At 43.3% G+C, this 26,726-nt stretch overlaps 1 protein-coding gene and 1 non-coding gene across 3 annotated transcripts in view, besides 2 other annotated features; both read left to right on the top strand.

The window, feature by feature from the left end:
* Window positions 1-26,726, top strand: part of MAP1B (microtubule associated protein 1B) — a 102,091-nt gene that overhangs the window by 48,141 nt on the left and 27,224 nt on the right. The window contains exon 1 of one of the 2 annotated variants that reach the window (NM_001324255.2): window positions 24,172-24,292. The exons of the other annotated variant lie outside the window; for it this stretch is intronic. The gene's annotated coding sequence lies outside the window, so the exon portion shown is untranslated. Of the gene's footprint in view, window positions 1-24,171; window positions 24,293-26,726 lie in introns of those variants that run through there. 2 annotated transcript variants of the gene reach the window in all.
* Window positions 2,495-2,994: an enhancer, noted in NCBI's record as "H3K4me1 hESC enhancer chr5:71453937-71454436 (GRCh37/hg19 assembly coordinates)". NCBI's record gives its function as "activates a minimal SCP1, AML or CMV promoter by ChIP-STARR-seq in primed H9 embryonic stem cells {active_cell/tissue: H9 hESC(primed)}" and the evidence as "EXISTENCE:reporter gene assay evidence [ECO:0000049][PMID:30033119]".
* Window positions 13,852-13,925, top strand: MIR4803 (microRNA 4803). Its single transcript, NR_039967.1, has one exon. It is a non-coding gene; the product is annotated as a microRNA 4803 (primary transcript).
* Window positions 24,061-24,650: an enhancer, noted in NCBI's record as "H3K4me1 hESC enhancer chr5:71475503-71476092 (GRCh37/hg19 assembly coordinates)". NCBI's record gives its function as "activates a minimal SCP1, AML or CMV promoter by ChIP-STARR-seq in naive H9 embryonic stem cells {active_cell/tissue: H9 hESC(naive)}" and the evidence as "EXISTENCE:reporter gene assay evidence [ECO:0000049][PMID:30033119]".

Below are 26,726 nucleotides of genomic sequence, written 5' to 3' on the forward strand. Positions count from 1 at the left end.
GAGTGGTGATGTTCTGACTGGTAGGGGCTGTTTTTGAAATATTTTCTAAAATCTCTTCATTTGTTAACAGTTTCCTCTCTAGTCTTGAGTAGCCTTTCTGTAGAAAATCTGAAAGCGTACAAGAGGTAATTGATTGATTGATTTTCTTTTCTTTTTTTTTTTTTTTTTTGAGACGGAGTCTCACTCTGTTGCCCAGGCTGGAGTACAGTGGCGCAATCTCATCTTAGTGCAATCTCTGCCTTTCAGGTTCAAGCGATTCTCCTGCCTTAGCCTCCCAAGTAGCTGGGATTACAGGGGCCTGCCACCATGCCTGGCTAATTTTTGTATTTTTAGTAGAGACAGGGTTTTACCACATTGGTCAGGTTGGTCTTGAACTCCTGACCTCAGGTGATCCACCCGCCTTGGCCTCCCAAAGTGATGGGATTACAGGTGTGAGCCACTGCGCCCAGCTTGATTTTCATTTTGAACATGCATATGGCCCCCCAAGCTTGCATCCCTGCCCTCTCTTCCTGCTTCTCACCTCCTCTCCTTCAGAAACACTGGTTTTCCTTTATGGCACCCACCACCACACTTGCTACTCCTGGCTGCCACTGCATGAAGGCAACAGGAAAGCCCAGCCTGGTACCCTACACCTGTGTACCAACCACCTCTGCTCCTCAACCTCACTTCCTTATGTACTGAATTTCTTAAGCCCTCTCTTGGGATAAACATTAAAGGTAGCAGCAAAAAATAGAAACCTGTCTGACTAAGTGAGCAAGAAGACGATAGGCGAAAGCAGGAAATTTTTTAATCTCATCCTCTTAAAACGTAAACAAAAACAAGGCAACTTGAAAATGAAATAGCATGGCCACAAAATAAGAGCTATGGTGTGCAAACTGAGCAGTAAAAGCATAAGATATGATAGAGATGCTTAAGGACAGTAGAAAGATGAGCTATCCACTTCTGACCTCAGATTTCATGGACGTTTGTGATAACTCAGATTCGGACAGTGCTTTCCAATGCAGTTCCCATATGTTACCCCATTTAAATCTCAGAGCAACCCTGAGATAAGAATTGTCGTTGTTCCCATTTTGCAAACCAGGACTTGGTAAGATTTAGGGACTCAAACATGATTCTTCTGGTTCCAGCTTCTGTTGCCGTGCACAATATGGGAAGCAGTGTTTCCTCTGACCCACACAGGGACACAGAGCAAGACCAAAGTACCCCAGAGGTCCAACTGAGTATCAGAGCAGAAAAGAGCTCTCAAGAGTAGCCAGTCCAAACTCACTCCCCATTCCCCACTGCCCTTTTACAGATGAGGAAACAGACTCACAAAGACCTTGTAAGTCACGAGTCAGAACTGAGTAGTAGCATCATTACGGGCTGGAAGATGTTAAACCTTCCCAGTTCCTAATCCTTGTAGGTTTATTTGTAGAAGGCAATAAATTATAAGTCAGCTCCTCACAGCAGCCCAAGTGGCCAGTGACCAGCACTTAGTCAGTGCTTAGAAAATGTGTGTTAAACAGATGGAGGAATGATTCACTGACTTTAATTGTAACCGTATGCAAATCAGTGCATTTCTTTTATATCTGTCTTGACCTACTTTTCCTACCCAAAGATGTTGTTTTTCACTCAGTTTGGAATGAGAGGGTAATGTTTGTAGAAATCCCAAGACAATCAGCTGAGAGGCCCTGTAAGTGCATAAAGTACCATTAGTGGTATTATTGAGTTGCTTTTCTATGGTACTGTGGGTTAATCAAAGGCCTTTGTCATTGTTGTTTTAAACACAAATCTCCAATTTATTATTTAGTTCGTTGCTTTTATTAACTTATTTGAAATGCAAATAGCAGCAAACACAGGTCAACAGCTGCAGCTGTGGGATGCAGCCAGTGAGAGCCAAGGGACAAGATGGAGATGGGATTCCCGGGGACAGGGAGCCATGGGCTTCCCCACCCTCCCTGGGGACTGACTGGGGAGGACACCTTTGATTACAGGGATCGGGGAGGGTCTCAGGGGCAAGTGGGCAGCAGAATCTAAAAGGAATGATTGATCTCAGTCCCTGGAAGTGGAGAAAAATGACTAGACAGCCTGTACCTTCCTGATAAGTTTCCCCTAATAGATTCTTGCTGTAAAAGCAAAGCCCAAAACCTTCCAGTAATTGCTTCTGGACTGTGGGAAATGACAGTGCTGAAGGAAATAATACAGGCAAAGCAGTTTCAGTAATGCCTTGCACATAGAAAGCAGTTACTAAATGCTAGCCTTTATCACTCTTTCTTGCTCTGTCACCCAGGCTGGAATGCAATGGCACGATCTTGGCTCACTGCAACCTCAGCCTCCCGGGTCCAAGCGATTCTCCTGCCTCAGCCTCCCAAGTAGCTGGGATTACAGGCATCTGCTACTACACCTGGCTAATTTTTTTTTTTTTTTTTTTTTGAGATGGAGTCTCGCGTTCGCCCAGGCTGGAGTGCAGTGGCACGATCTCAGCTCACTGCAGGCTCCGCCCCCCGGGGTTCACGCCATTCTCCTGCCTCAGCCTCCCGAGTAGCTGGGACTTCAGGTGCCTGCCACCTCGCCCGGCTAATTTTTTGTATTTTTAGTAGAGATGGGGTTTCACTATATTGTCCAGGGTGGTCTCGAAATCCTGACCTTGTGATCCGCTCACCTCAGCCTCCCAAAGTGCTGGGATTATAGGCATAAGCCACCGTGCCTGGCCTATCCCCCGATTCTTATGATAGCCCTTGTAATCTGATGTATTAGTAAGAGATAGTGGGAAACTCTAAACGATGCAAACCTAAATGAACCTTAAATCTTGTCTCACTTCATACAACGATTTAGGTGATTAAAGCAGTTGGAGAAAAGAAAGAGGAGAGGTGTTTGGGAAAATGTGAATGGATTCCTTTAAACACAGCACAAGGGAGCTGCCCTATGGTTGAAGGGGAAGGAAGTTTTCAATGGTGTTTGAATTATGTGATTTGAGTATGACTAATTTGGAGAGGACCACTGATGTATTGATTGGTAAAGTAATGACAACTTGAAATTTTGGTGATTTCCTAATGAGACCCAAATCCTGGGCTCAGTGGAAATGAATATGGAAGGCGACAGGTAGGATTGATGTAATAAAAAGCTGGTGCCCTTATTGTTCTAAGACTCGTATGTGGTGAGGCAGTTTGGGTATAAGTGCTCATGGGCAGAAGACATTTGAATGGAGCATAACTAGAGACAAGAATCTGGGCCCAGAGAGGTTTTATGTAAATGCATATAATTTGATGTTGAAAGGGTTCACTTATGCAGAAAGTTAGAGATTTGGGCAACATGGCCTAATCACTAGTGATTATAGCAACACCCATTTCTTGAGTATCCACATGCCAGGCTTCTTACCTGTAAGACCTCACTTAATCCTCACAACAGCCATATGGGGTGTGAGTACTGTTATTCCCATGTACGATTGAGGAACCTGAGGGTCAGAGAGATTAAATAATCAGCCCAAGGTCATAGTTAGCAAGTTGTAGGGCTGGGATTTGAACTTATGTTTGCCAGTCTCCAAAGCCTCTTTCAGAGCCTCTAGAAGAGAAGGAACCTTGTGCAATCAAGACTGGAAGAAAAAAAACAGTCCTAGATGAAAGATTGTAAAAAGGCTGCTTTTGGAACTCACAGAAGGGTACTGAAAAAAAACTGTAGAAAGGTGATCTTTCTTTGAAGAAGAGTGTTTAGATTAGTACAGTATGTTACTACTCTGTTGTCCCTACATTTGGACTTATTTCTTAGGAGTCCTTGGTGATTCTTTGGAATTTCTCTGAAGAGAGCAAAAATGTCTGGTGTCTGGAAGCTACTAAAAAGGCAGATAGATAGTGTATGTTAACATAATGAAAAATATCACTAGATGCCTACTTCCTGTGGACTAGCAAGTAAACACTGGGCCATCTTCAAGCTTGGCTGTGTATGTACAAATATCTGTTTAAGTTGACCATCTGCTGTTGTATTGTTGATAAACACCATTATACCAGTGATTTAACTTATGCCCTGGAGGAAGAAGTGCCTTCTAGAATCTCTTAATGGCCATAAAACATTGGCGTTGATAGATTTTAGAGGCAGGCAGCCTTCAAGGCATTCAATGATGAAAATAAAGAAACATTTGTGAAAATTCAGTGAAGATTTCAGAGGCCCTACAGGAACTAGGAGCTTCATACCAAGTTCACATTTGAGTCTGAGTTCAGTTTTAAAGGAAATGACTTTCCATGACAGAATAGTGTGAGATCCAGGCCTTACTCATGGTTGTTGAGTACATGCAGCCTCCAGCCACACGAAATAATACGTTCACCTGGTAAAGAGTGGGGGCTTCATCAGAATCACACCCAACTAGCTCCTTCTCTATGCCTTGTCTTCCTCCAGCGTCTTGTAGAGCTAAAATGTGATGACTCTTTTAGTTTGTATGGAGGAGGGTAAAAATGTGTTTTCAAACTGAGCAAGGGAAGAAGTTTCAGCCATTCCTTTATCTTCTTCCCCTTTTTTTGTATTTCCATTTTCACTTTGAGCATAAATGGGAATCAGAAGGTAGGAGGGAGGATGTTATTATGGATCAGGGACCGAGAATAAAGGGCAGTTTTCAGCTGTATGTTGGAAACTTAAAAAAAAAAAAAAATCCAAACCAAAAAAACTTTCTGTATTCATTCCGTTTTGGAAAAGACTCTGAAAAAGGAATCACATCTTTGATCAAGAGCAATGGTATTAGGTCTTTTACTACAAATTATACTTTTCTGTGAGCCTGTATTTATTTTGCCAGGCTTGAAATAGCTGATGTTATTTAAACAACTGTGTGACTATTGTCTAGGAAATGAGTGTAGGCTGGGAATAGCCTGGCTGATTACATTGTTTAGAAATGAGCCTTATTTTTTGCAGTCCCTTTAGGTGGGAGGGTTCATGAATGTTCCTGTGGTTGGTTGTTCCATGGTGTCTTCTGTTTATATCAAGTCAGTAGCCTCATGATGTCATCATTTTATTCTACCGTATATCATTTTAAGCCTACTGAAGAATGAACAGAGCTAGTTCCATTCCTTGAGACAGATATATAGGCAACATCAAAGAAGACTAATCTTTGATTAGTCTTTGAAATCTCCTAATCTACAGAAAGTAGAGACTAGGGCAAACAGTGGGGCTCCCACCCTCTCCACCTCAGGGACCAGAATCCTCATTGTGATTTGCTACAGGCTTCTTTGTCTCTGGAGAGCTTCAAGAGCAAGCTAGACTGACCATGGAAATAAGTGACAGTTCATTGGTCAGGGGCCTCAAAGTGTTACCTGGATGAATGAGAGGGTCTAGACTTAGGCCCAGAGAGAGCTGGGGATTTCATAGGCTAGAAAGACCCCAGAACATAGTACAATTCAGTTGCCTAACTCCAGTGTACACCATTTACATCATATGACTAGTGAATGGTACCCCTGGGCCTGGGGAGAACATGTTGTTTCTCCTTAAGATTCTGGTACATCCACCTTCAAAGATCCCAGGCCAGGGGACTGAGAAGAGTGCAACCCTGAGTCAGCCAGGGTGTTTGACTCAGTGGTACTCAGGGGACAGAGAGAGAAGATGAGCCTCCATGCCAGATGCATGTGGGTTTGAGTCACAACTTTGGCACTCACAAGCCACCTGGCTTTGGATCAATCACTTAATCTCTCTATACCCTGGTTTTCCATGTGTACAGTGAAGTCAGTCATACAGCTGCCATTGAGAAATGGAATCAATGTCATAATAATACTCAAACAATACATAATAAGCAGTCAATACATGGTGGCTATTGTGGCTCATATGAATAATAGTACTAGTGCTGGTGTGCCAATGAAAGGACAAACAAATGAAAAATACTGCTCTCTGTGAGACTCTTTTCAACCCAAAGGGCATCTTGCCCTGCATGGCCAGGATTCTGCAGATAGATGGACAGGGAAGTTGCAGTTGGTGAAGAGTCACAGTGGCATTCCTGACTTCCTCTGCCTGTCTTTTCTATCCCAAGGGACTTCTGCTCCCTCAGCTCACACTTAGGTTCTGCTGATGGTGTGCTGAAAACATAGGTGTTGAAAAAAAGCAGAGCTGGCTCAGCGCAGTGGCTCACACCTGTAATCCCAGCACTTTGGGAGGCTGAGGCGGGCAGATCACTTGAGGTCAGGAGTTCCAGACCAGCCTGGCCAACATGATGAAACCCTGCCTCTACTAAAAATACAAAAATTAGCCAGGCATAGTAGTGGGCGTCTGTAATCCCAGCTATTCTGGAGGCTGAGGCAGGAGAATTGCTTGAACCCGGGAGGCGGAGGTTGCAGTGAGCCGAGATCGCGCCACTACACTACAGCCTGGGTGACAAAGCGAAATTCCGTCTCAAAAAAAAAAAAAAAAAAAAGAAAGAAAGAAAGAAAGAAAAGAAAAAAACAGAATTGACAGCCAGTTCAGAAACCTTATGAAGAGCTAGTACTAAGTTATCATCACCAGAGAGTGAAAAGGACCTTCAAGTCCAAGACAGCACTGCAGACACATCACGCCATGCCAGGCAGGGGACTGAACTCAGTGCTGCGTGCAACCTAACATTCTGTGATGAAGGATTAAGTCATGCCACTAGCAAAGTGGGTGTGATTGGCGAGAGATGAGTGTCTGAGCTGGGGAGAAAGGAAAGAACCAAAATAATGGCAGAAATATTTTTATCCTGTAAAAGTAAAAGTCACTGTCAGTGTGACAATTGAAAGACCTTTTCATTCCCTCTGAGATATTTTCAAAGTGATTAACTTGAAAAATCTTCGATGTAAGGGCTGTAACATGACTGGGGGGGCATCTTTTTTTTTTCTCCTTCTTCTCTTACTTCTTGGAGGAAAGATGAAATAAAATGGTTTTAAGAAAACGAAAGACATCCTGAAAAAGAAAGTTAACAAAAACACAAAAGGAAAAAGCTCCCTATAAAAAGCTTACTACCTGCTCCCTGCAGTTACAGGTATCATTTTATGTTAGCGCTTATGAAATATTTCTAAAAAAAAATAAAGATGTTCACATGGGTTTTGCTTCCTTGCTTAAATTCTGTCACCTCGGTGGAGTCCAGGGTCTTTGCTGCTTACACACATTGTGCGGGACCCAACATAGTAGGGACTTGGTAAATGTTAAACCATCATCATTAAAAAAACACTTTCTCTTCCACTTTGAGTCCTTTAAGTTTTATGAATGCATGCGGGCAGAATATTAATTCCAGCACAGTGAGTGTTGCTCAGGAGTGATTATGCCACCTGGCTTGAAGCCTTCCAGTGCACTTGTGGGGATTTTCATTTCACTCATCATTTAAAGTTTGTCATGAGGGGTCTCTGTGAAAGAAAAATATAGAGGAGCCTCGGCTGGGTGTGGGGGCTCACGCCTGTAATCCCAGCACTTTGGGAGGCTGAGGTGGGCAGATCACGAAGTCAGGAGATCGAGACCAGCCTGGCCAACATAGTGACACCCTGTCTGTCCTAAAAATACAAAAATTAGCTGGGCATGGTGGTGCGTGCCTATAGTCCCAGCTACTTGGGAGACTGAGGCAGGAGAATTGCTTGAACCTGGGAGGTGGAGGTTGTGGTGAGCCAATATCACGCCACTGAACTCCAGCCTGGGTGACAGAATGAGACTCCATCTCAAAAAAAAAAAAAAAAAAAAAGAAAGAAAAATATAGAGAAACCTAAGGAGAGAAGACTCACTGGACATACTGTGTGAAGAGTTCTCTGACTCTAGATAGCTTTGTAAATAAGGCAGTTATGTTTCCTAGTCTATTTCTTTTCCAAAAGAAGGGAGGATGTGTGATTGCCTCTAGCCCAACATTTGTAGCCAACTGGATGAGATTCCATGCTTTTACCATCATTGACCCAAATAGGTAACCTAAGAATTGAGCTTAAACTGCTTCTCTTGCAGCCCATCTGTGCTTCCAATAAGGAATCTGAGTCATGTCTAGATTAGGAATCAGATACTTTTTTTGCCACTTGAGATGAGCTCATTTAATAGAATGCTTCCATTTGGTGTGGGATAAAGTATGGATATAGGAAGGAGGTGTCGGGATCATAGAGCTGTAAGGGCATGAGGTCCTGTGGGAGCAACCTCAGCCTCTTGCTTTGGGGAGGGTGAATGTGTGGATACCTGCACATTACTCCTGGCTCTGCCATTATCTTGCTGTGTGACTTCGGACAAGTCACTTAGCCTTTCTGAACCTTAATGTCTTCATCTGTAAAACAGAGGTTTGGAATAGATCCATATAAATTCATATTTCTGTAACCCTGTGTTACAGGCTATATGACTTTTTTCTTTTTTCTTTTCTTTCTTTCTCTCTCTCTCTTTTTTTTTTTTTCTTTTTTTTTTTTTTTTTTTTTGAGACAGGGTCTTGCTCTGTCACCCAGACTGGAGTACAGTGGCACAATCAGGGCTAACTGCAGCCTTGACCTCCAGGCTCAAGTGATCCTCCCACCTCAACATCCCAAGTAGCTAGGACAAGTACTTGGGACATGTACCACCACACCTGGCTAATTTTTTGTAGAGGCAGAGTCTTGTTATGTTGCCCAGGCTGGTCTTGAGCTCCTGGGTTCAAGTGATCCTCCTGTCTTGGCCTCTCAAACTGCTGGGATTACAGGCATGAGCTGCCACGCCCAGCCTGCTATAAGACTTCTAATTGGACTGCATCATTTCATCCCAGAGACCTGGTTCCCAGGGTTTTCACAAGGTAGGAGGCATTGTTTCATAGTTCAGGTGAGGGTGTTGATAATCTAGGCCAGGACTGTGACAAGGGTGACATCATCTGTGGTATGAAATTTATTTTTAGCATCAGAATTTTGGGGGCATCTTGAGTTGAAGAGCAGTGGTTCCTTCATTGAATGACACTAATTTGGCTATTCTCTGGGTCTCTTCTTACAGTTTAAAAAGGGGCTGATGATGGGCTGGATGGGAACTGTTTCCCTGGTAATGTTGCCAACTCATCTCTTTGCTGGTGCCAGCTTTCTTGTCTGAGTTGTAGAGCTCATGCCTGATATGACAGTGGCAAAGGATCATGGAAATCATGTGCAGGGTAACCAGGGAACCAGCGCAGTTGCCTTCAGTAATTAACTAAGACATCCATTCTGAGGTGGGTGGGACCTCAGTTCCAGCTCCTCTGCATATCCTCAGGGACAGGGTAAGGCTTGTGGTCTTAAACAGAAGAGCTCTCAGTCCGCTGGGTGAACATTGCTTTCCCTGCGTGTTTTTACTTGCAAGGGTATTTTGTTCAAACAATTTTAATATTTATTTGTTAGGGGGTTTTATCTCTATTCATAGGTGATATTTACCCATGAATGAGTATTTTTCTTGGAAGAGTCTCTTTCCTTTCTTCCTTGTTTTTTTCCCTCTTTTCAACTGGGTTTACCTGTTAGCAATTGGACATATATGTCTTGTATGATACAGTGCCCTACTGTTGCTATTTTAATACCATGAGAACTTTGAAAGGCTAAAACCAAAGTACAGGACCCACTGAAGCCTACACTTTACAAATAAAAGGTAATTTTGTCAGCTAATTTGTAGTGGATTCCTTGACCTTAATCTTTCTTGGTCCCCTGGTCAAAATATAGTCACCCAATTTGCTTTTTTTCACATGTCCATATTTTAATTCTTTGCCAATCATTGTCTGATAATTGTCTTAATTATTTGTTTATTTTTGCTCCTCTGCCCCTACTAGAATGGAAGTCTTGCTGACCACTATCTCCAGGACCTGGCATATAGGAAGTTCCTAATATATATTTGTCAAATCAATGAATGAATGAATAGATACTTAAGTCATAGAATATACGTCAAGTCCACAGACCCAGAATCTAAAATAAATCGGAATTTAAAATGTTGTACATCAGTTGGTTAAAACGCTAATAGAATAGAGATGTTACTTAGGGGATTCAATGGTCCGAAGGAGTCTGTGGCCAGGAGGAAGAACCAAGAACAACCAACAGTCCTGTTCCTGGCCAAAAACCAGGAACAGGACCTTGGGCAAGTCACATGACCTCTTGGGCTCAGTTTTCCCATCCACTAAATAAGAGGATGGGATGTAATGATCATTAGTTCACTTAGCCATTTATTGAACAGGACTATATCACTACCCTAGATGAAAAAGCAGTGCCATATAACCATAAACATATTCATTACATATAAAATATGCATTACTATTAAAATGTGAAAAAGCTCATAAGTGTATCACCCCAATCTTGCATACTGCCAGTAGAACATGTACTGCATGTTGGGAGACACCGTGATAGAGCATGCTATGTGCTGTGACAGAGCAAGCTACAAAGCCTAACTGTAGAACCAGATAGACTAGAAGGGAGAAATCCTAGTGATAGCAAACATTTCAGTAGCTCTGAGATCCCATCATGTTCTACCCTCACAACAACTCTTAGGGTAGGCATTATTATTATCCCCATTTAATAGACAGGGCTCAGTGTTACTTGCTCCAAATGACACTAGTGGCAAGAGGACTTAAACCCAGGTCTTCTGGCTGCAAGTCCCAGGCCCTGAAATTTTACCCTGTAATATGCTAGCTGTGGTTTGGCAAATGTAGGAGAAACTACATCATGTACAAGGTATATCCCAGCACTTTAAGCCTCAGAGAGTTTTCTCAACATTTTCTCCTAGAGTAATAGCTTCTGTGGCTTGTACAGAGCCTCCCTAAGCAGCACTGATTTCATGATCGTCAACAGAATCCAGGGAGGTAAGGGCAGTGTGCAGACCCCTTTCCAGCCTCTGGGGAGAGAAAGAAGTGGCCACTGGAACCTTGGTGGAGAGGAGTATTCCAGGATCCCGGTACACGATGGGCATCTGTTTGTAAAAATGCATGTAAATTTGGCCTCCAAAATATTCCGTGTAGTCTAGTTCTCACTGAACTGTGGCCCACTGATAACAGCAGTGTTCACTCCCTAGAGAGGTCGAGACAGCAGCTTCCCAGCACTCAGAGGTGTCTTCCTGATTCTCCCCCTGGCTCTGTGAGATAACTCCCTTTAGCCCTTTTTTTGTCTGCAGCCAGCAAGACCTGGTGATAATGTGAGGCCCGAGGCCGAGCTAATCCTCCCTGTAGAAATCCAACAGTGAAGCGTCTTGTCTTTATGACTATTCGCCGAGGATGTGTAAAGGGAAATGCAAGCCCCAGGCAGCAGTAGCTGGCTGGGTTCCAGAGTCAAAACTGAATTAAAAACTCATTAAGTAGTACTTTGAGCTCGCAAGCTGACTGGCGCGCAGTGCTGGGAAAGCTGATGGTGGAGGAAGGGAAGGGCTGGCTTCTTCCCGTTGGCAAATGGCAGACTGTGGGCAGGACGGGGCAGTCCAGGAAACAAGATGAAACACAGCCCACTTGTCTGTCATGCAGACATGTTTGTGAGTATAGCTTTTGGTACAGCCACATAATGTATGCTAATTGCTATATTCCTTCTTTTTTTTTTTTTTTTCCACGGGAAATGGCTCGGTGAGAAAGCTCTGAAACCAAAGAGGCAATGCAGAAATGCCAAAATGCAGACATTACAAAAGAGAGAGGAGGAACAAAGGGAAACAGGGGATCCAAATTTACATCATGGTTTAGCGTTCTGCTAAATCAGCACCTCCCTGGTCCATGCAAGTCATATGGAAAATAATTGAGCAGAATTTCCTATTTGGGTTGATTTTCACTGCATCTATCTCATAGGTTGCAATTTGTTAATTGGATTTTTTTTAAAACAAGAAGCAAAAATTTTACCCCCAAGGACTAGAAAGTTAGCAAGTTAAGTTGAAACTCCAAAGTAATTATCAGAGCTTCCAGAAAATATTAATAAGACAGTATGAGCTGGTTCTCTCTCTACTACTGTTCTGAACAAGACACTTCTCAGTTGACCACAAGACTCAGATGCAAACTGGGGAAAGCACACAACTGAGCCCACTTAAAAGAATCATCCATCTGTAAGAAAACTCATTCAGAATATTTTGTATGTGCCAAGCTGTGTACCTCTAGTGTTCCGTTAGATATCCTTTTGCAACTGTCATTCTTTAAATCAAATAAAAACAGACCAAGATATTAAAGGAATGCTTTGTCTAATGAAGCAAGAGTGCACAGACATTTTATATTGAAAGAGAATGGACCAGAAATGAGAAATATATTTTACTTTGTCATTGGAGTCAAAAGAAGTATTGATAAGTAGACTTTCTTTCCCCCAGTAACCCTTCATTTTTTTTAAATAAAAAAGTAACATTCTTTAGAGCAGTTTTGTAGTTACGAAACAGGAACTTTTATAATGAATTTGATTAGATGTGACGGAAGGAAATGCAAGTATTTTTCAGAACGATGTAGATAACACATTAAGGCATCATCTTCTGTCATTTAAGAATTATGAGAATAAAGAGAACTGGAGTCGGGAATGTGGTTAGACTCTCCTCTGGAGGGATAGCTGACGCACGGAAAGCACTGCTCCTCCACTTGGCTCTTGCCCCTGTCCAGCTCCTGTCGCTTGGCCAAGGCCCTGAGCTGAGGAGGGCCTCAGGCTTGCTCACCTCCTGCCTTTCCAATCCTTAACTTTGAAGCCTTGCATTTTCCAGATATCTGAGTTTACACTGAGCAGTGGTGCCCTCGGCAACCTTAGGGTGCTCCATCTCACCTTCCAGCTTCTCCAGCAACAGCCTCTGCTCCAAAATAAATGAGGTGTTCAGTGTTGCTTTCTGGGCAGGAATCAGATGTTCTTTCTTTCAGTTAAACTCCAGAGCTCTGGCAGAGCTTGATTTGGTCCATTTTTCTCTAGGGCCGGCTTACCTGTTGGCATTTTTACAGAGACAAAATATGCTCCCAATTTATACTATTTTATTTACGAAAGAGCAAAGAGTAATACATTCTAAGAACTTTGATTAGCATACATATGGATCATTGCATATATTCCAAGTGTATATAAATACATAAAAAATACCCAATGGAGAATAATGCAAGACAGGAATGTAGAAAGTGATTTTATGCATGCTGCCTTTCTTAAGAGAACTTGTTACTTCTCATGGAAATTAAAATCTGGGGATTTGCTCAAGGGCAATTTTCCCCAAAGTCCCCAGATTATTTCCCTCCCTCCTTGGACTCATTTTAAACTAAAATTTCAGTCTTTTAAAAAGAAGATAGAAGAGGACAGAATTTATTTGACTACCTTGTTTGACTTGCTCTTTGTCATGGGTTTCAGACCTGTTTCTCAGGAGAGCTACGTCTGTTGGTTCAGAGTACATTTATCAATGCCTTGAAAATGCCCATTGGCCAGATTTGGTTGAATTGCCTCAGAAACAAATCTCTGTTTGTTAAGTAAACCATTAATTAAATATATGGCCCAGAACTTAATTCCTTTGGTTTACTACATCACATTTTCCTAAATAAGCAGATGTATTCTTTCAATTATAATATCCCAGAGGTCAACGGTACTCATCTTAAAACAAATAAAAAATAGGTTGTTAAGGTAAGAAATCAACCTTCAGCAAAAAATATGGTTTGGGGGCATACTGTGGCACCCCATTAATAGTGACCTTGTGAAGACCTTGTCGTTGAATATAAAATCAAAATGAAATCTAACGATGCCTCATTTTAATTCCTTAAGAGATCTTAAGGGGTGGCAGAATGACCACAGGCAAAATCCAATGCGCGTGTGAGAAAACCAAACACACAAACAACTCCTGACACTTTGGGGCAGTTTTTGGCCCTAATCACTTGAAAAGAGCTAGGCAATGTCTTCTTTTTAATTATTTATGCATGGCAGTGGGTTTCTTCTAATGATGGCCCAGGTGTATATTTTTCAGATCCTGAAGGTAGATCACCTGATTTGCTTACTTCTAAAGACAAAGTAAGCAAATCACACTTTGATTGTTTACTTTGCTTGTTAAATCCCTCTGAGTGGGATTTAACATAATAGTGTGGATTGAATCACACACACATTTCAACCCACACTATGATGTTAAATCCCATTCAGAAGTGGAGTGAGTGTTTGTGTGTAACTATGGGTATCTATATTTTTAGTTGTCCTTTTTTGCAAAAGATTGTCATCACCTAAATCCCTATAGGTGGAAGGCTCGGATCTAGGCTTTGTGAGATTTACATAGAAATTGCCACCTTCACAGGAAGTTCAATGAGAGGTACATGAAAGTATGTAAAAGCATTTTGTTAACTAGAGTCTTATAAGTTGGTTGGAGGCAATAGCTCATATAAATACTATGTACATCCTCTAATTGAGCTATATAGTATAGAGACTGTTAACTGCTATACCAGAATTTGGGGATAAGAGACAACTCTGGGAATTGAAGTGGACAGAGAGATACTCCCTGAGGAAATAAAAATATGAGCTGAACATGTAAGAAATGGATTAGATTTAAGTAGGTATGATGCCTTATTTTATGGCACAGTAAATTCTATCACCAAACAACACTCTTTATTTAAAACAACCTTCAAGCAAAGTATCCCACTAGGGCAAAAAATGAATGCAGTGACCAACTGGCATGAATATCTGATTTACTAAAAATTTAGATTCCTGTTAGTGGAAATTAAATGAACACATCAGCATTGTAAATTACCAGTCTATTTCATGTAAGCTTTAGTAGTATGGCTCTTTAAGTTGAATGCTATTAGGTGAAATGGAAAACTCAATGGCTAATTTAAAAGCCAAGGGCCTGCATCCTATCCGTCAAAGTATGATTCTCCATAGGCCTGAGTCAGCAGCAAGCTGGGTTTCACATCTCTTTATCTGCTCTAAAAACAATGGTATGAAGGGAAGCTTTTACAAGAAGGTCAGCTCTCTGTATGATGTTTCCAAGAGAGTACTCAATAGTTCGTGCAAGCATTTACCCTTTACTAAATGTTTTATTTAGCCTTTTAATAAATCTTTTACTGCTGAAATACAGGGTTTGGATTTGGTTGAAGGAGAAGTGGTGAAAGGTTTAGTTGGAGAAAGTTCTTTTATTAAATTTCTCCTCCTTCTGCCCACCGAGAGGAGCTGGGACTATCCCATACACAGTGGCTCAGTATCCCCTGTGGCAGAGCCTCTGAAGAGGTGATCAGAACAGTTAACCTGCCAAGACCTTGTTGCGTGGTCCTCTTTGATGTTTAATATAGCCAGACGCGGTTGTTCACGCCTGTAATCCCAGCACTCTGGGAGGCTGAGGTGGGTGGATCACCTGAGGTCAGGAGTTCGAGACCAGTGAAACCCTGTTTCTACTAAAAATACAAAAAATGATCCAGATGTGGTAGCAGGTCACTGTAATCCCAGCTAGTCGGGAGGCTGAGGCAGGAAAGTAGCTTGAACCCAGGAGGCAGAGGTTGCAGTAAGCCGAGATCGTGCCACTGCACTCCAGCCTGGGCAACAAGAGCAAAACTCCATCTCAAAAATAAAATAAAATAACATAAAATAATGTTTAATATATAGGGCTAGAATATCTATCCAAAGCTTTATGTTCATGTAGCTTATCAAGCCTTCAAAAGTGACACCCTTCTCTTGCTGCTGCGTGTCAGGACAACATAGAGTAGGAAAGGGTAAAGTGAAAGGGGGAAAAGACTGAAGTCTTCCCTGCTCAGAATAAGGAAAAAGGGTAAAGAGGAAAACATGAGCAAATATGGTGGCTTTTCGGGGGACATTTTTGAGATAAACATAGCAAAGGATAGTGCCTGAAGATGCAGTCGAGGTCTTGAAAGACCATCTGTGGGCCAAGAGTTTAAAGAAAAGGCATTTAACAGTGTAAGAAGGACAGCTGCAGTGGCTCACACTTGTAATCCCAGCACTTTGGGAGGCTGAGGTGGGAGGATCACTTGAGCCCAAGAGTTTGAGACCAGCCTGGGCAACATAGTGAGACCCCATCTCTACAAAAAACAGAAGAAATTAGCTGGGCATGGTGGCACACACCTGTAGTGTTAGCTACTTGGGGATGCTGAGTTGGGAGGATCACTTGAGCCCAGGAGGTCGAGGCTGCAGGGGGCCATGTTCATGCCACTGCACTCCAGCCTGGGTGATAGAGTGAGACCCTCCCTCAAAAAAAATTTTTTTTTTAAAGTGGAAGAAACGTGTTTGGGATTCAATCAAACCCAAATGGGAGAAGTTGAGAACTAGGCTTTAAATGAGACATCATTTTGGTTTCCCAGACAGGGCCTGTAACTAAGGATAAAGAACAGGAAAGTAGAATCAGGACTGTGCCCCTGGTGTGCCGAGAATCACCCTTCAGGTCTGGAAGAGGGAAGAACCAAGGTCACTGGGAACCGGGTGTGCTGTTCTGGGCAGCTAGGCATCCAGCCATGACTGAACAACACAGGCACCGTGCAAAGAGGAAATGCGTAGGTGCTGATTCTGTCGTCACTTACGAATGATCCATCTCCACCTCACCCTTTGAAATGATGCAGTGGAGTTTTGAAATGATGCAGTGGAGGAATAAACACAATTCATACAAACAACAAAAATCACAGGTCCCTTGGGTTGGGCTAAGGCTTTATGTCAAATCCTGTAATGATATGACCAGATTTATTCATCCTGGCTGGGGTGCAGGACCTGAGTGTCCACCTGTACATTACTTATTACAGATGGTGGCAGCTGAGGCACCACTTCAGCCAGGACCAGAGCTCAGGTCTTGAACCTCATCCTTTTTGGTCAGGATCTTGACCTTAAGAAGTCCCTTCCTGGCCAATCACCAAGCTGGTTGCTGTGGCCCAGCCTGATGCTGCCACTACCAATGATATTGTCCCCCTCGCAGTTTTACTGGGGAAAAATCAACTCATACTATTTCTCCCTGGCCTAGAGCTAACAACTTTCTGAGGGATGGAAATCAGTAGATTCTAGGTTTAATATGTGTTATGTCGGCCATTTGCATTTTTTCTTTTTTTTTGGTTTTCTTTTCAATAGCCAAATACCAAAAAAGACTAATTAGATTTTTGTTTTTAAAAGGCAGCTGGTTTTGAGACCGAATAATAGTTTGATGATTTGGTTTGATAATAACAGATGAGGGTGAAAGGTCAACCATTTCCCTGGATTTGATCAATGGCAGTAGTTTGATGGCAAATTAAATATCAGATAAACCTGTCAAGTGACTCCAAGAATCAATATTTACTGGGAAAAGTTGTTTGAGCCTTTAATGATTACATTTGCTCCCAAGGGAAATAATGCTAGAAATATGTTCAGGTATTAGGATAGGAATACATAAAAATCATGTGAGGATGATTTTAAAGGAGGTCACTTATTATGTTGTTATTGATCAATAAGGTATTCATCATCTGTGTTTCTGGCCAAGCCTAGCGCCAAGCATGAGAGCCACATTTCTGCCTCTTATTGGACAGAGCCATCTGGAGATCCTACAGGGACCTCAAACTCAGCATGCCTCCAAGCAAACTCTCTGTCATCTGTCTTCCTGCTTCCCTTTAGAATAGCTTATTAGTTGAAAGCTTGGACTTTGGATACTGAACACCTGGTCTCCATCCCAGTTCCGCTACTAACTAATGCAGACCGTTGGGCTGTTGCTCCACTGCCCTGTGCCGCCTTTGCCTCCTGTGTGCAATGGGGATAGTGGCTTCCTCATAGCATTAATGTGCACATTACATCAGATCACAGACATAAAGAGCTTAGGTCAGGTCTTGAATATACCTTAGCCATTTTTCTTATTCAGCCCTTTATGCAATATTGATTGCGCATCTGCTGTGTATCAGACCCTCCTTATGACTTACGATTCCTGATTTAGAAACTGTAAAAACACTGTCTCCTGTTTAAACCGTATTTCTTCAGGATAGGGGTAGCATCTCATTCATGTTTTAATCTCAGTGCTCAGTTTATGAACGTAGCACTAATTTGCCTGAATTAACCTCCAGAAAACCATGTCTTCTATAAGTAATTCACATTGTTTTAACAAATAGGAAATACAAAAGCAGGAGAAGACCATGAAGATTTTTTTAAAAAGGTGTCTGAAACCTACTCTAGTCTCAAGAAAGTCAGGTCTAATTAACCATGTGAAAGTGGCTTTTTTGTGGTAAAAATAGCTGATATCGGTAATCTTTTGGTTTTACCTAATACTGCACAGGGCACCTGGCACACCACAGGGTTTCATCACAACAAAAATAATTCCCAGATCCATATCTCAAATGCTGGGATTATTCTATAACATTCTGAGGATAATGTACCTCAGATCTTATTCTTAAAGATTAAGGATCTGGACCTCGTAAACACTTAAAACAATCTGAGAAGCAGTGAGGGACAGTGAAAAGAGAGTGGGGATCACGAGTCCTGTGGACTGGATTTAAAACCTAGTTCCTGCTGGGCGTGGTGGCTCAAGCTGTAATCACAGTACTTTGGGAGGCCAAGGCAGGAGGATTGCTTCAGCCCAGTAGTTCGAGACCAGCCTGGGCAACATGGCAAAACCTCATCTCTACAAAAAGTACAAAAAAATTAGCCAGCCATGGCGGCCTGTGCCTGTGGTCCCAGCTATTCAGGAGGCTGAGGTGAAAGAATCACTTCAGCCCGGGAGGTTAAGGCTGCAGTGAGCCATGTTTGTACCACTGCACTCCAGCCTGGGTGACAGAGCGAGAAACCTCGTCTCAAAATAAATAAACAAATAAACAGATAAATCCTAGTTCAGTAGCTTATTTTGTCTCTCTGATGCTGGACAAGACAGCTAACTCTTATTGAGGAACCTGTCCCAATAGCTTCTATTTGTCCATCTATAAAATAGCAAGAATGATAAACATTGACCTTTGTGATATGCAAATGAGGTAATATGAAAATAAAAAATTGTATAAACCATAAAGTCCATCACAAATGAAGGGTAGTGTTACTATTTTAGTACCCACTCTCCAATAGAACTGACCACAATATGCATAGGAAATGCCTATGACAGGCCACTCCTCGTCTTTGAGATTCAGTTTTCTCTTCTGTAAAACAAGAGGAAGAGAGAGGGGACGAAATTGTCGCCAGGACTCCTTCAGGTCCTCCCATTCTGTGAGGTGAGGAAATTCTGATTTCTTACACTGTATGAGTGACAAATCCTGCTAGGCTTGCGGGGGCCACATTTCCTTCTTGGCTGCTGGACCCCTTACATTTTACATGCAGAGGAGGAGACTCCTTTCTTGTGCGTTGAGGGGCATGTGTATTTTCCTTTGTCTGCAGCAGGTTTTGCTTAGAGAACAGGGCACTCACAGATCCCACCTTGTCTCAGCCTGGAGGAAACCAAATCAGAGACTTGGAACCCTGTCATTAGAGCTTAAGTAAGTGGACACAGAAGAAAGTGCTTTGGAAATGGTGAAGCAAACACCAACACAAATAGGCATTGAACTCTGCTTCCTTTCTTCCTTCCTTCCTTCCTTCCCTCCCTCCCTCCTTCCTTCCCTCCTTCCCCCTTTCCCCCTTCCCCCTTCCCCTCTTTGGCCCTTCCTTCCTTCCCGCCTTCCCTCCTTCCCTCCCTCCTTCCTTCCTTCCCTCCCTCCCTTCCTTCCCTCCCTCCCTCCCTTCCCTCCCTCCCTCCTTCCTTCTATCTTTCCTCCTTTTCCTTCTTTTGACAGGATTTCACTCTGTTGCCCAGGCTGGAGTGCAGTGGTGTGATCTCGGCTCACTACAGCCTCAACCTCCTGGGCTCAAGTGATCCTCCCACCTCAGCCTCCCGAGTAGCTGAGATCACAGGCGTGCACCACCATGCCTGACGAATTTTTGTATTTTTTGTAGAGATGGAGTTTCACCATATTGCCCAGGCTGGTCACTGTATTTAAAGAGACCTGGAGTTGGCTCACCTGACAGGTTACCCCATCACCCTTCACTCCATGTGCCTTTTTTATTTTTATTTTTAATCTGTAGCTTCTGTACTTTGTTGAAGATGTAACCCTTAGGCTATTTTATCAACCACAGCTGGTGCCAGGATTGGGCTTTGCTGGTTCTACTTAGGTGCCCTCCAGGGAGCCCAAGTTTCAACACCATCTACGTTATTTATTTCTACTTCTTTCAGCCAGAGGATAAAACAGAGAAAAAGGGAGCAAACTTCTTCCTTCCACTGTCTTTCACCTTAACCCTTGATATCCTTGATTCTCATCCCTTTGCCTTGAGAATTTTTAATAGGGAGAAGAAAAAAAGGAAGAGGAAAACCTAAGAGAATGGGACTGGGTAGGAGAGAAACACCGAAGAGAGGATTTAGAAAGCAGGTCAAATGAGAATCCTGCACATGGAAAACCAAACCAAAACCACTGACAACAAAAAGAAAACTAACAACCACAAGGTCCAGGAAGTATAGAGAAAATTAGGTATAGACTCAAATTAGGTAATAACTAAATTCCCTGTAACACAAAAGATATCCAAGGTAAAAAAATGTTGTCTAACTCACAAGCAATGATCAATTTATTTAAACTAAAGAACATTATTTGCGAAGTCTCCTGAACTTGAGTTTTTTTATTCTCTTAAGAAAACAAGTGTTCAAAATTTGGAGAGCCATAGATTCAGGAACATTTTCAGAGATGAAACAGATACATAAACAAAAATTTATTTCCCACAGAAAAGAAATGTCATTTCTAGGAATATTAGGGGAAGGTGGGAAAGAACTTGGCTGATGGTTCAGCAGAAACCAAGAAGGAATTGCCCTCAGGGCGTGTGTGGGAGGCCATAGTGCCCTGCTGGGTCCACACACACGTGTGTGCACGCACACACTCACACACACTTAGGCAATTCAGCAGGCGTTGGCTGACCAGCAGCCAACCCTGGCTGCACACTTACCTCTTACAAAGGAGAATCTTGGCATCACAGCTTGAAAATCTTTATTTTGGATGGGAGTGGATCAGGAAAAGGAGAAAGGAATAGTGTCACAGCACTGACCTTGGCCTTGAGTGGCCTCATGGAGCGTGACAAGGGTCCCCAGGCCTGTTCTTCCACACTGTCAAGTCAGTAAACCTCAGCTCTTTCGTCCATGAAGAGAAGATAATATTTGCCCCACTACTTCATAAAAATGCTGTGAGACAAAACAAAGAACTACCTGAAGGACAAAATGCTTTGGCAACTCTAAGGCACTCTACACATGCAAGATTTTATTGCTGTGTTCTGGTGATGGACTCTCTGGTGATCAAAGGATTAGATTTTGTCACTACCCATTTCTATGTATTAGCCTTGTATTCAGTCATTTTTGGACCCAGGAGGGATGGCACCTGGCACATAGAACGTGCTCCAATGTGTGCATGACCTTAAAACCAGCACGCACATTGAATTATGCTTTTGCCACCTTTTTGTTCATGTTCCCTGTTGCCTCTGAGACACCCAGCCTAGAAAAAGTTCTTTTCCAAGCCTCAGGCTGAGATGTGCAAGAGCGGATGAATGCGAAAAGATGAATGAGTTGATTGGGGGAGTTAATTTGATGCAGAGGACCCCTGAGAAATCCAGCTACCTCCAGGGCTAGGAGTTTTACTTCCCTGGAGACAGATTCTGTGTAATTTCCTGGTAACAGGTGGCCTTCTGTTTTCTGTGCTGATGCTATTGGTCTTTGGGGATCCGTGGAATTAGAACCAAGTCTCCTACCACCTTTGTTTTCTAACAGCACCTCTGTGGCAGGGGTGAGGGTTTTGTGTCTCACCCTGCTTTGGGATCATGTCCTCCCTCAGGGCTGAGGTAGGTTTTTGCTCCAGGGGAGCCGAGGAAGTCTTCTGTTAGGCTGGGTTGCCTCGATCCTTCTCCTGGACCCTCTCCGGAGCTCTAAGCTGGGGCACCTGGGATGGAGAGCCGCTCATTGTAGCTTCTCAGAGCATGGTTACTGGGTAAACTATGTTCACCTCTTTCTCTTCCTCTCTGTTTTTCGTGCTTAGAAATGATGTGGTGGGATGGAGGGGCACAGGGAGAACCACCTGGGGGCTGCTTGTGAGGCTTCCTTATTTGCTGGTACCTTTCCTCCCTCTGAAAAGGAAGTTTTGGGGATTCCTTCCGGCCAGGCCTCTGGGCCCCAGCGTTAGTTGCCAGGGATAGAGAAGACTTCTGTGAGGGGCTCTGGAAGAAAAGGTTCACTACAAAACTCTGCTGCTTCAGGCGTCTCCCCTCCTGCCTCACCAGCTCCCATTCTCTTCAAATCAACCACACATTTGCTTTACCTGCCATGTGGGTTTCTGCAGAAAGGAGGCCTGGAGCTGGAAATGATTTCACACCATAAGCTGCTATTACAAGCTTCTGGGAGACCTGTTGGTTAGTTATTAATTCTTAGTTCCTGTACCAAGCACCTTTCATTTCTTGCTCTTAGCCATTTAGCTAAATTTTACTCTCAAGAGTGTTTTTTGCACGAGGGGTTAGAGGTTAGAGGTTTCCGCTCAAAAAAATTTACTTTGGTAAAGAGGTTGAGTTGAATAACTCTGACTCTATCATTTTCTCTTCCTTCCCTTCCTCCCTCTCTTTTTTCCTTCCTTCCCTCCTTCCTTCCTCCCTTCCCTCCTTCTCTTCTTCCTTCTAATGAAAAGAGACTTCATTTTTTATTTTTTGAGGCGGAGTCTCACTCTGTTGCCCAGGCCGGAGTGCAATGGCATGATCTCAGCTCACTGCAACCTCTGCCTCCCGGGTTCAAGTGATCCTCGTGCCTCAGCCTCCCAAGTAGCTGGGATTACAGGCATGCACCACCATGCCTGGCTAATTTTTGTGTTTTTAGTAGAGACAGCGTTTCACCATGTTGGCCAGGCTGGTCTCAAACTCCTGACCTCAAGTGATCCACCTGCCTCGGCCTCCCAAAGTCCTGGGATTACAGGCATGAGCCACCGTGCCTGGCCTGAAAAACAGACTTTAAAATCAAGACATTTAGTGCTTGTGGTCTTTCTTGATCGACCAAACTTTACTTTTAGCTAAATCAACCCAGTCCTTTTTTATCTCACACATTTTTCTCTCTAACTCCAGAATCTTCACATTGTAAGTTACTCCAGTGTTGAACCTGGGCAGGGGGCTGGAAGTAGTTGGTAGGTGAAGAGAGGGCAGCAGTGGGAGCTGACAGAGCAGGGAGGCAGAGATGGGGACAGGACGGCTTTTCTCCTGGCTAAAGCCCCTGCCCATGCCCTGCCCCTCAGTCCTGGTTACCAATAGTTCAGGACCCTCCTCATCATCTCCCTTTCATACTGAGTAGAAATCAGAGGCTTGCTTTATTCTTCAACTACCATTTCTATTTCCTTCTTCCAAAACCAGGGTGAAGCCTCTGAGGGGTGTGTGTGTGTGTGTGTGTGTGTGTGTGTGTGTGTGTGTGTGTGTAGATGAATGCTAAACTCTGTGGAGAAGAGATCCCGCAAGCATCCTAGAAATTTACATACATAGAAAATAATATTTTGCTTTAGGAGATTTCAGAATCAGCTGAATGTAGCAAAACATAAGCTACTAAAAAAGCCAAACCTTATAAGACACATAGGTTCAATTAATCTGTCACATTTTCAAAAAGGAATAAAATCCCAACAACAGCCAAAAAATGCAGGCTTCCTTTTGAGTTCCAAACCCAGCTTTGGGAGAGCACAAACAAAAGTCTCATTGTCTGCAAGGCCCCTCCTGCTTCGAGGGTCCTTAGACTGTCCTCTTTTGATTCTGAGGTGGCGCGGACCCCTTTTGTCACACACAATCTTCTCCACTGCCCCCGCCCCGCCACCCAGGTCGAGGCTTCACAATCATGCTGAGTTTTGTGGGGAAGCCCTCAAAGACTTTTTCTTATGAAGCGATAAGTGACACAATCATTCCAGGTCGAGCCCCCGCTTTTGCTGCCCTCAGACCGATGCCGGGGAAAGTTAACAATTCATGGGGCTGCCTAAGGGTTTCCCTGTGAGGTGTCGAATGGAGAATGCGGACTACAATGGTGGAGAGAGAGGCTGGAACCCGGCTGCCTTTCTTTCCTGGGAACTTCTTTTCTGAGGCAACTGAATGAGACCTTTACAAGCCAGGGTGGTGGCCTCCCTTCAGAATGCCTGGCCCGTTTCCCAGTGTGAAACATTCCCCAAATATGCAACTTTGTGAGCATCCCAGCCGCCTGCGCTGAGAACCCGCCCGCCTGCCGCAGGAAAGCTGGCACCCACGGGTATGCCAGGGGTGGGGGCGCGTCAGGGCCCCTCTGCCAGGCTTGGCCAGATGCTGGGGCGGCCCAGCCCCAGGTTACGTCGTCCCCAGAAAGAATCTGGCCAACAGTCTGGCCGTGACAAGAGCTGGAAGCTTCTCTCTCTCCCTTTAAATCCCCTCCTTCATTCAAATCCGATCCTATAAAAAGGCTTTTGTTGAAGGAGCAGCCATGGCATCTTGGTGCACGTCTGTGCCATTCCTCTCAATATTTCCAAAGATGGACAAAAGAGAACATCGTTAGTTGAATTCCTGGGCAAACTGGTCTGAAGATTGACTTGGAAGGAGTGGAGGTAAATGGCAACTGTCACGTGGCATTTGTTTTGTTTGCAACTGATGAAGCCAAAGAGGAAAGGAACTGCCGGTGGATGGTAAGAAGGCTCCTGCCAGGGGCCACCTCGGCAGCAGGCGAGCTCACTGTGTGTTTGGGGAAGAGCGTGCTGTGGAGGCAGGTGGACTGTGCAGGCTGCTGTCGCCTGGACATGGGTGTTGAAGGGTGCAGCTAGCGGGCTCAGGGCGTTGTGTAGGATCACTTCAGAAAGAAAGAGGCTGGGATTTCATTACCATCACTTGTGGAGGGAGCCACTTTATGTACCTTGCTCAAGTCTACTTGTATGGATTCCTGCAGAATACAGACGTGATGACAGTCATACCCGGACACTGCACTGGCTGATGCTCTGGGTGCCCACAACAAAATTGTGACCAAAGAAATGACTATTCCTTCTCCTTGGTCTTAAGCTTTTGCTTAATTTCATCTCAACCTAGTGCCTTTGAAGCTCTTGAAATCTTTGTTTCAAGAAGACCACTGATGGAAAGACCTAGAAAGAGGATAGTTTCATGTGTCTTGCCAATTTTCATTTTATCATTTTCTTATTTAATTTGATTTTCTTTTGCTTTAAATGCACATGGTTGTCAAAACCAAAAACAACCAAAAAGCCGAAAAGCAATGTCCAATAAATTACAGTATTTAGCATTCATAATAAATGAACTTTCTTTCCTGTGGTTTATTCTTCTTAAGCCTCCGTTCTTTGTCTGCTCAAACTGTGGGACTTTGTTCTGTTTTGGAGTTTATTTTTAGGCTTTTGGAGTAAGACATCACATATTTTCTCTTAATTTTAACTTCTTTTATGTGGGGTATTCTGCCACCGTTGCCTTTTTTTGGCCAATATTCTCTTAATATTTTCTGCCTTCCTGCTTTTGTAAGCTCATCTCTGATTTTATTTCTTTGGACCTTTCCCTAACTGTCTTTTGGCATTTGGTGTCTGTGCCTTGTCTGTTTTAACAAATTTTAGTTCCAGTAACCAACCCCATAGGGCAGTGAAGCAGAAGGACTCTAGATCCAGGTGACCCGGGTCCAAATCCTGGCTTGACCACTTACTAGTTGTGTGACTTTGGGCAGGTTAATTCTCTTCTGTAGACTCATTGCTTTCGACAGTAAAGGGGGATAATCATAGTAGCTATGTCACAGAACTCTTCTGAGGATTAAACGAAGCCATGTATGTGAAGTCTTAGAACGGTGCCTGACATCATCATTGTTCTGTTTAGGCTTCTGTCTGTGATGTGGGGTTTGTTGGTAAATGTTAGCTGTTACTGAAAGTAGGATGGTGGGGGAGAATGGGCTTGGTAACAGTGATGGTGGTTGGTGGTGAGTATTTCAACATGTTGCTGTTTCTGTAGTACTTCTGGTCCTTCCTGATATAAAGGAAAAAGAACCAGTGTATCCTGAACTGCTTTATGTTTTTTATTTTCTAATTGCTTTATTGAGATCTAGTTTGCATACCATACAATTTACCCATTTATAGTGTACTAGTGAATGTTTTTTGGTATATTATTAATTTTTAAGTCGCGATAAAATATAACATTTGCCGTTTTAACTATTTTTAAATGTACAACTTGGTTTCATTAATTACATTCACAAGGTTGTACAACCATCCCCTCTTTTTTTATTTTATCAAGTTTTTGAGACAGAGTCTTGCTCTGTTACCCAGGCTAGGGTGCAATGACATGTTCTTGGCTCACTGCAGCCTCGACCTTCTGGGCTCCATTGATTCTCCTGCCTCAGCCTCCCATGTAGCTGGGACCACAGATGTGTGCCACCACACCCAGCTATTTTTTTTTTTTTTTTGAGACGGAGTCTCGCACTGTTGTCGGGGCTGGAGTGCAATAGTGCAATCTCGGCTCACTGCAACCTCTGCCTCCTGGGTTCACGCGATTCTCCTCTTGTCTCAGCCTCCCAAGTAGCTGGGATTACAGGTGCACATCATCACACCTGGCTAATTTTTTGTATTTTTAGTAGAGACGGGGTTTCATTATGTTGGCCAGACTGGTCTCGAACTCCTGACCTCGTGATCCACCTGCCTTGGCCTCCCCAAGTGCTGGGATTACAGGCATGAGCCACCGCACCTGGCCTTTTTTTTTTTTTTTTTTTTTGGAGACACGGGGTCTCACTTTGTTGCCCAGGCTGGTTTTGAACTCCTGGGTTCAAGCAATCCTCCTGCCTCAGCCTCCCAAAGTGCTGGGATTATAGGCATAAGCTACTGCATCCGGCCTTCATCACCTCTATTTTAAAAACATTTTCATCACTCCAAACAGAAACTGTACCCACTAAGCAATAACTCCCCATTCCCCTTCCCTTAGTCCCTGGAACCTTCTAATCTACTCTCTAACTCTATAAAGTTGCCTATTCTAGAGATTTCATGTAATTGGAATCACCATGTTTATCCTTTT

This window comes from Homo sapiens, chromosome 5, assembly GCF_000001405.40.
Source record: "Homo sapiens chromosome 5, GRCh38.p14 Primary Assembly".
In the NCBI taxonomy this organism is placed as follows: Eukaryota; Metazoa; Chordata; class Mammalia; order Primates; family Hominidae; genus Homo; species Homo sapiens.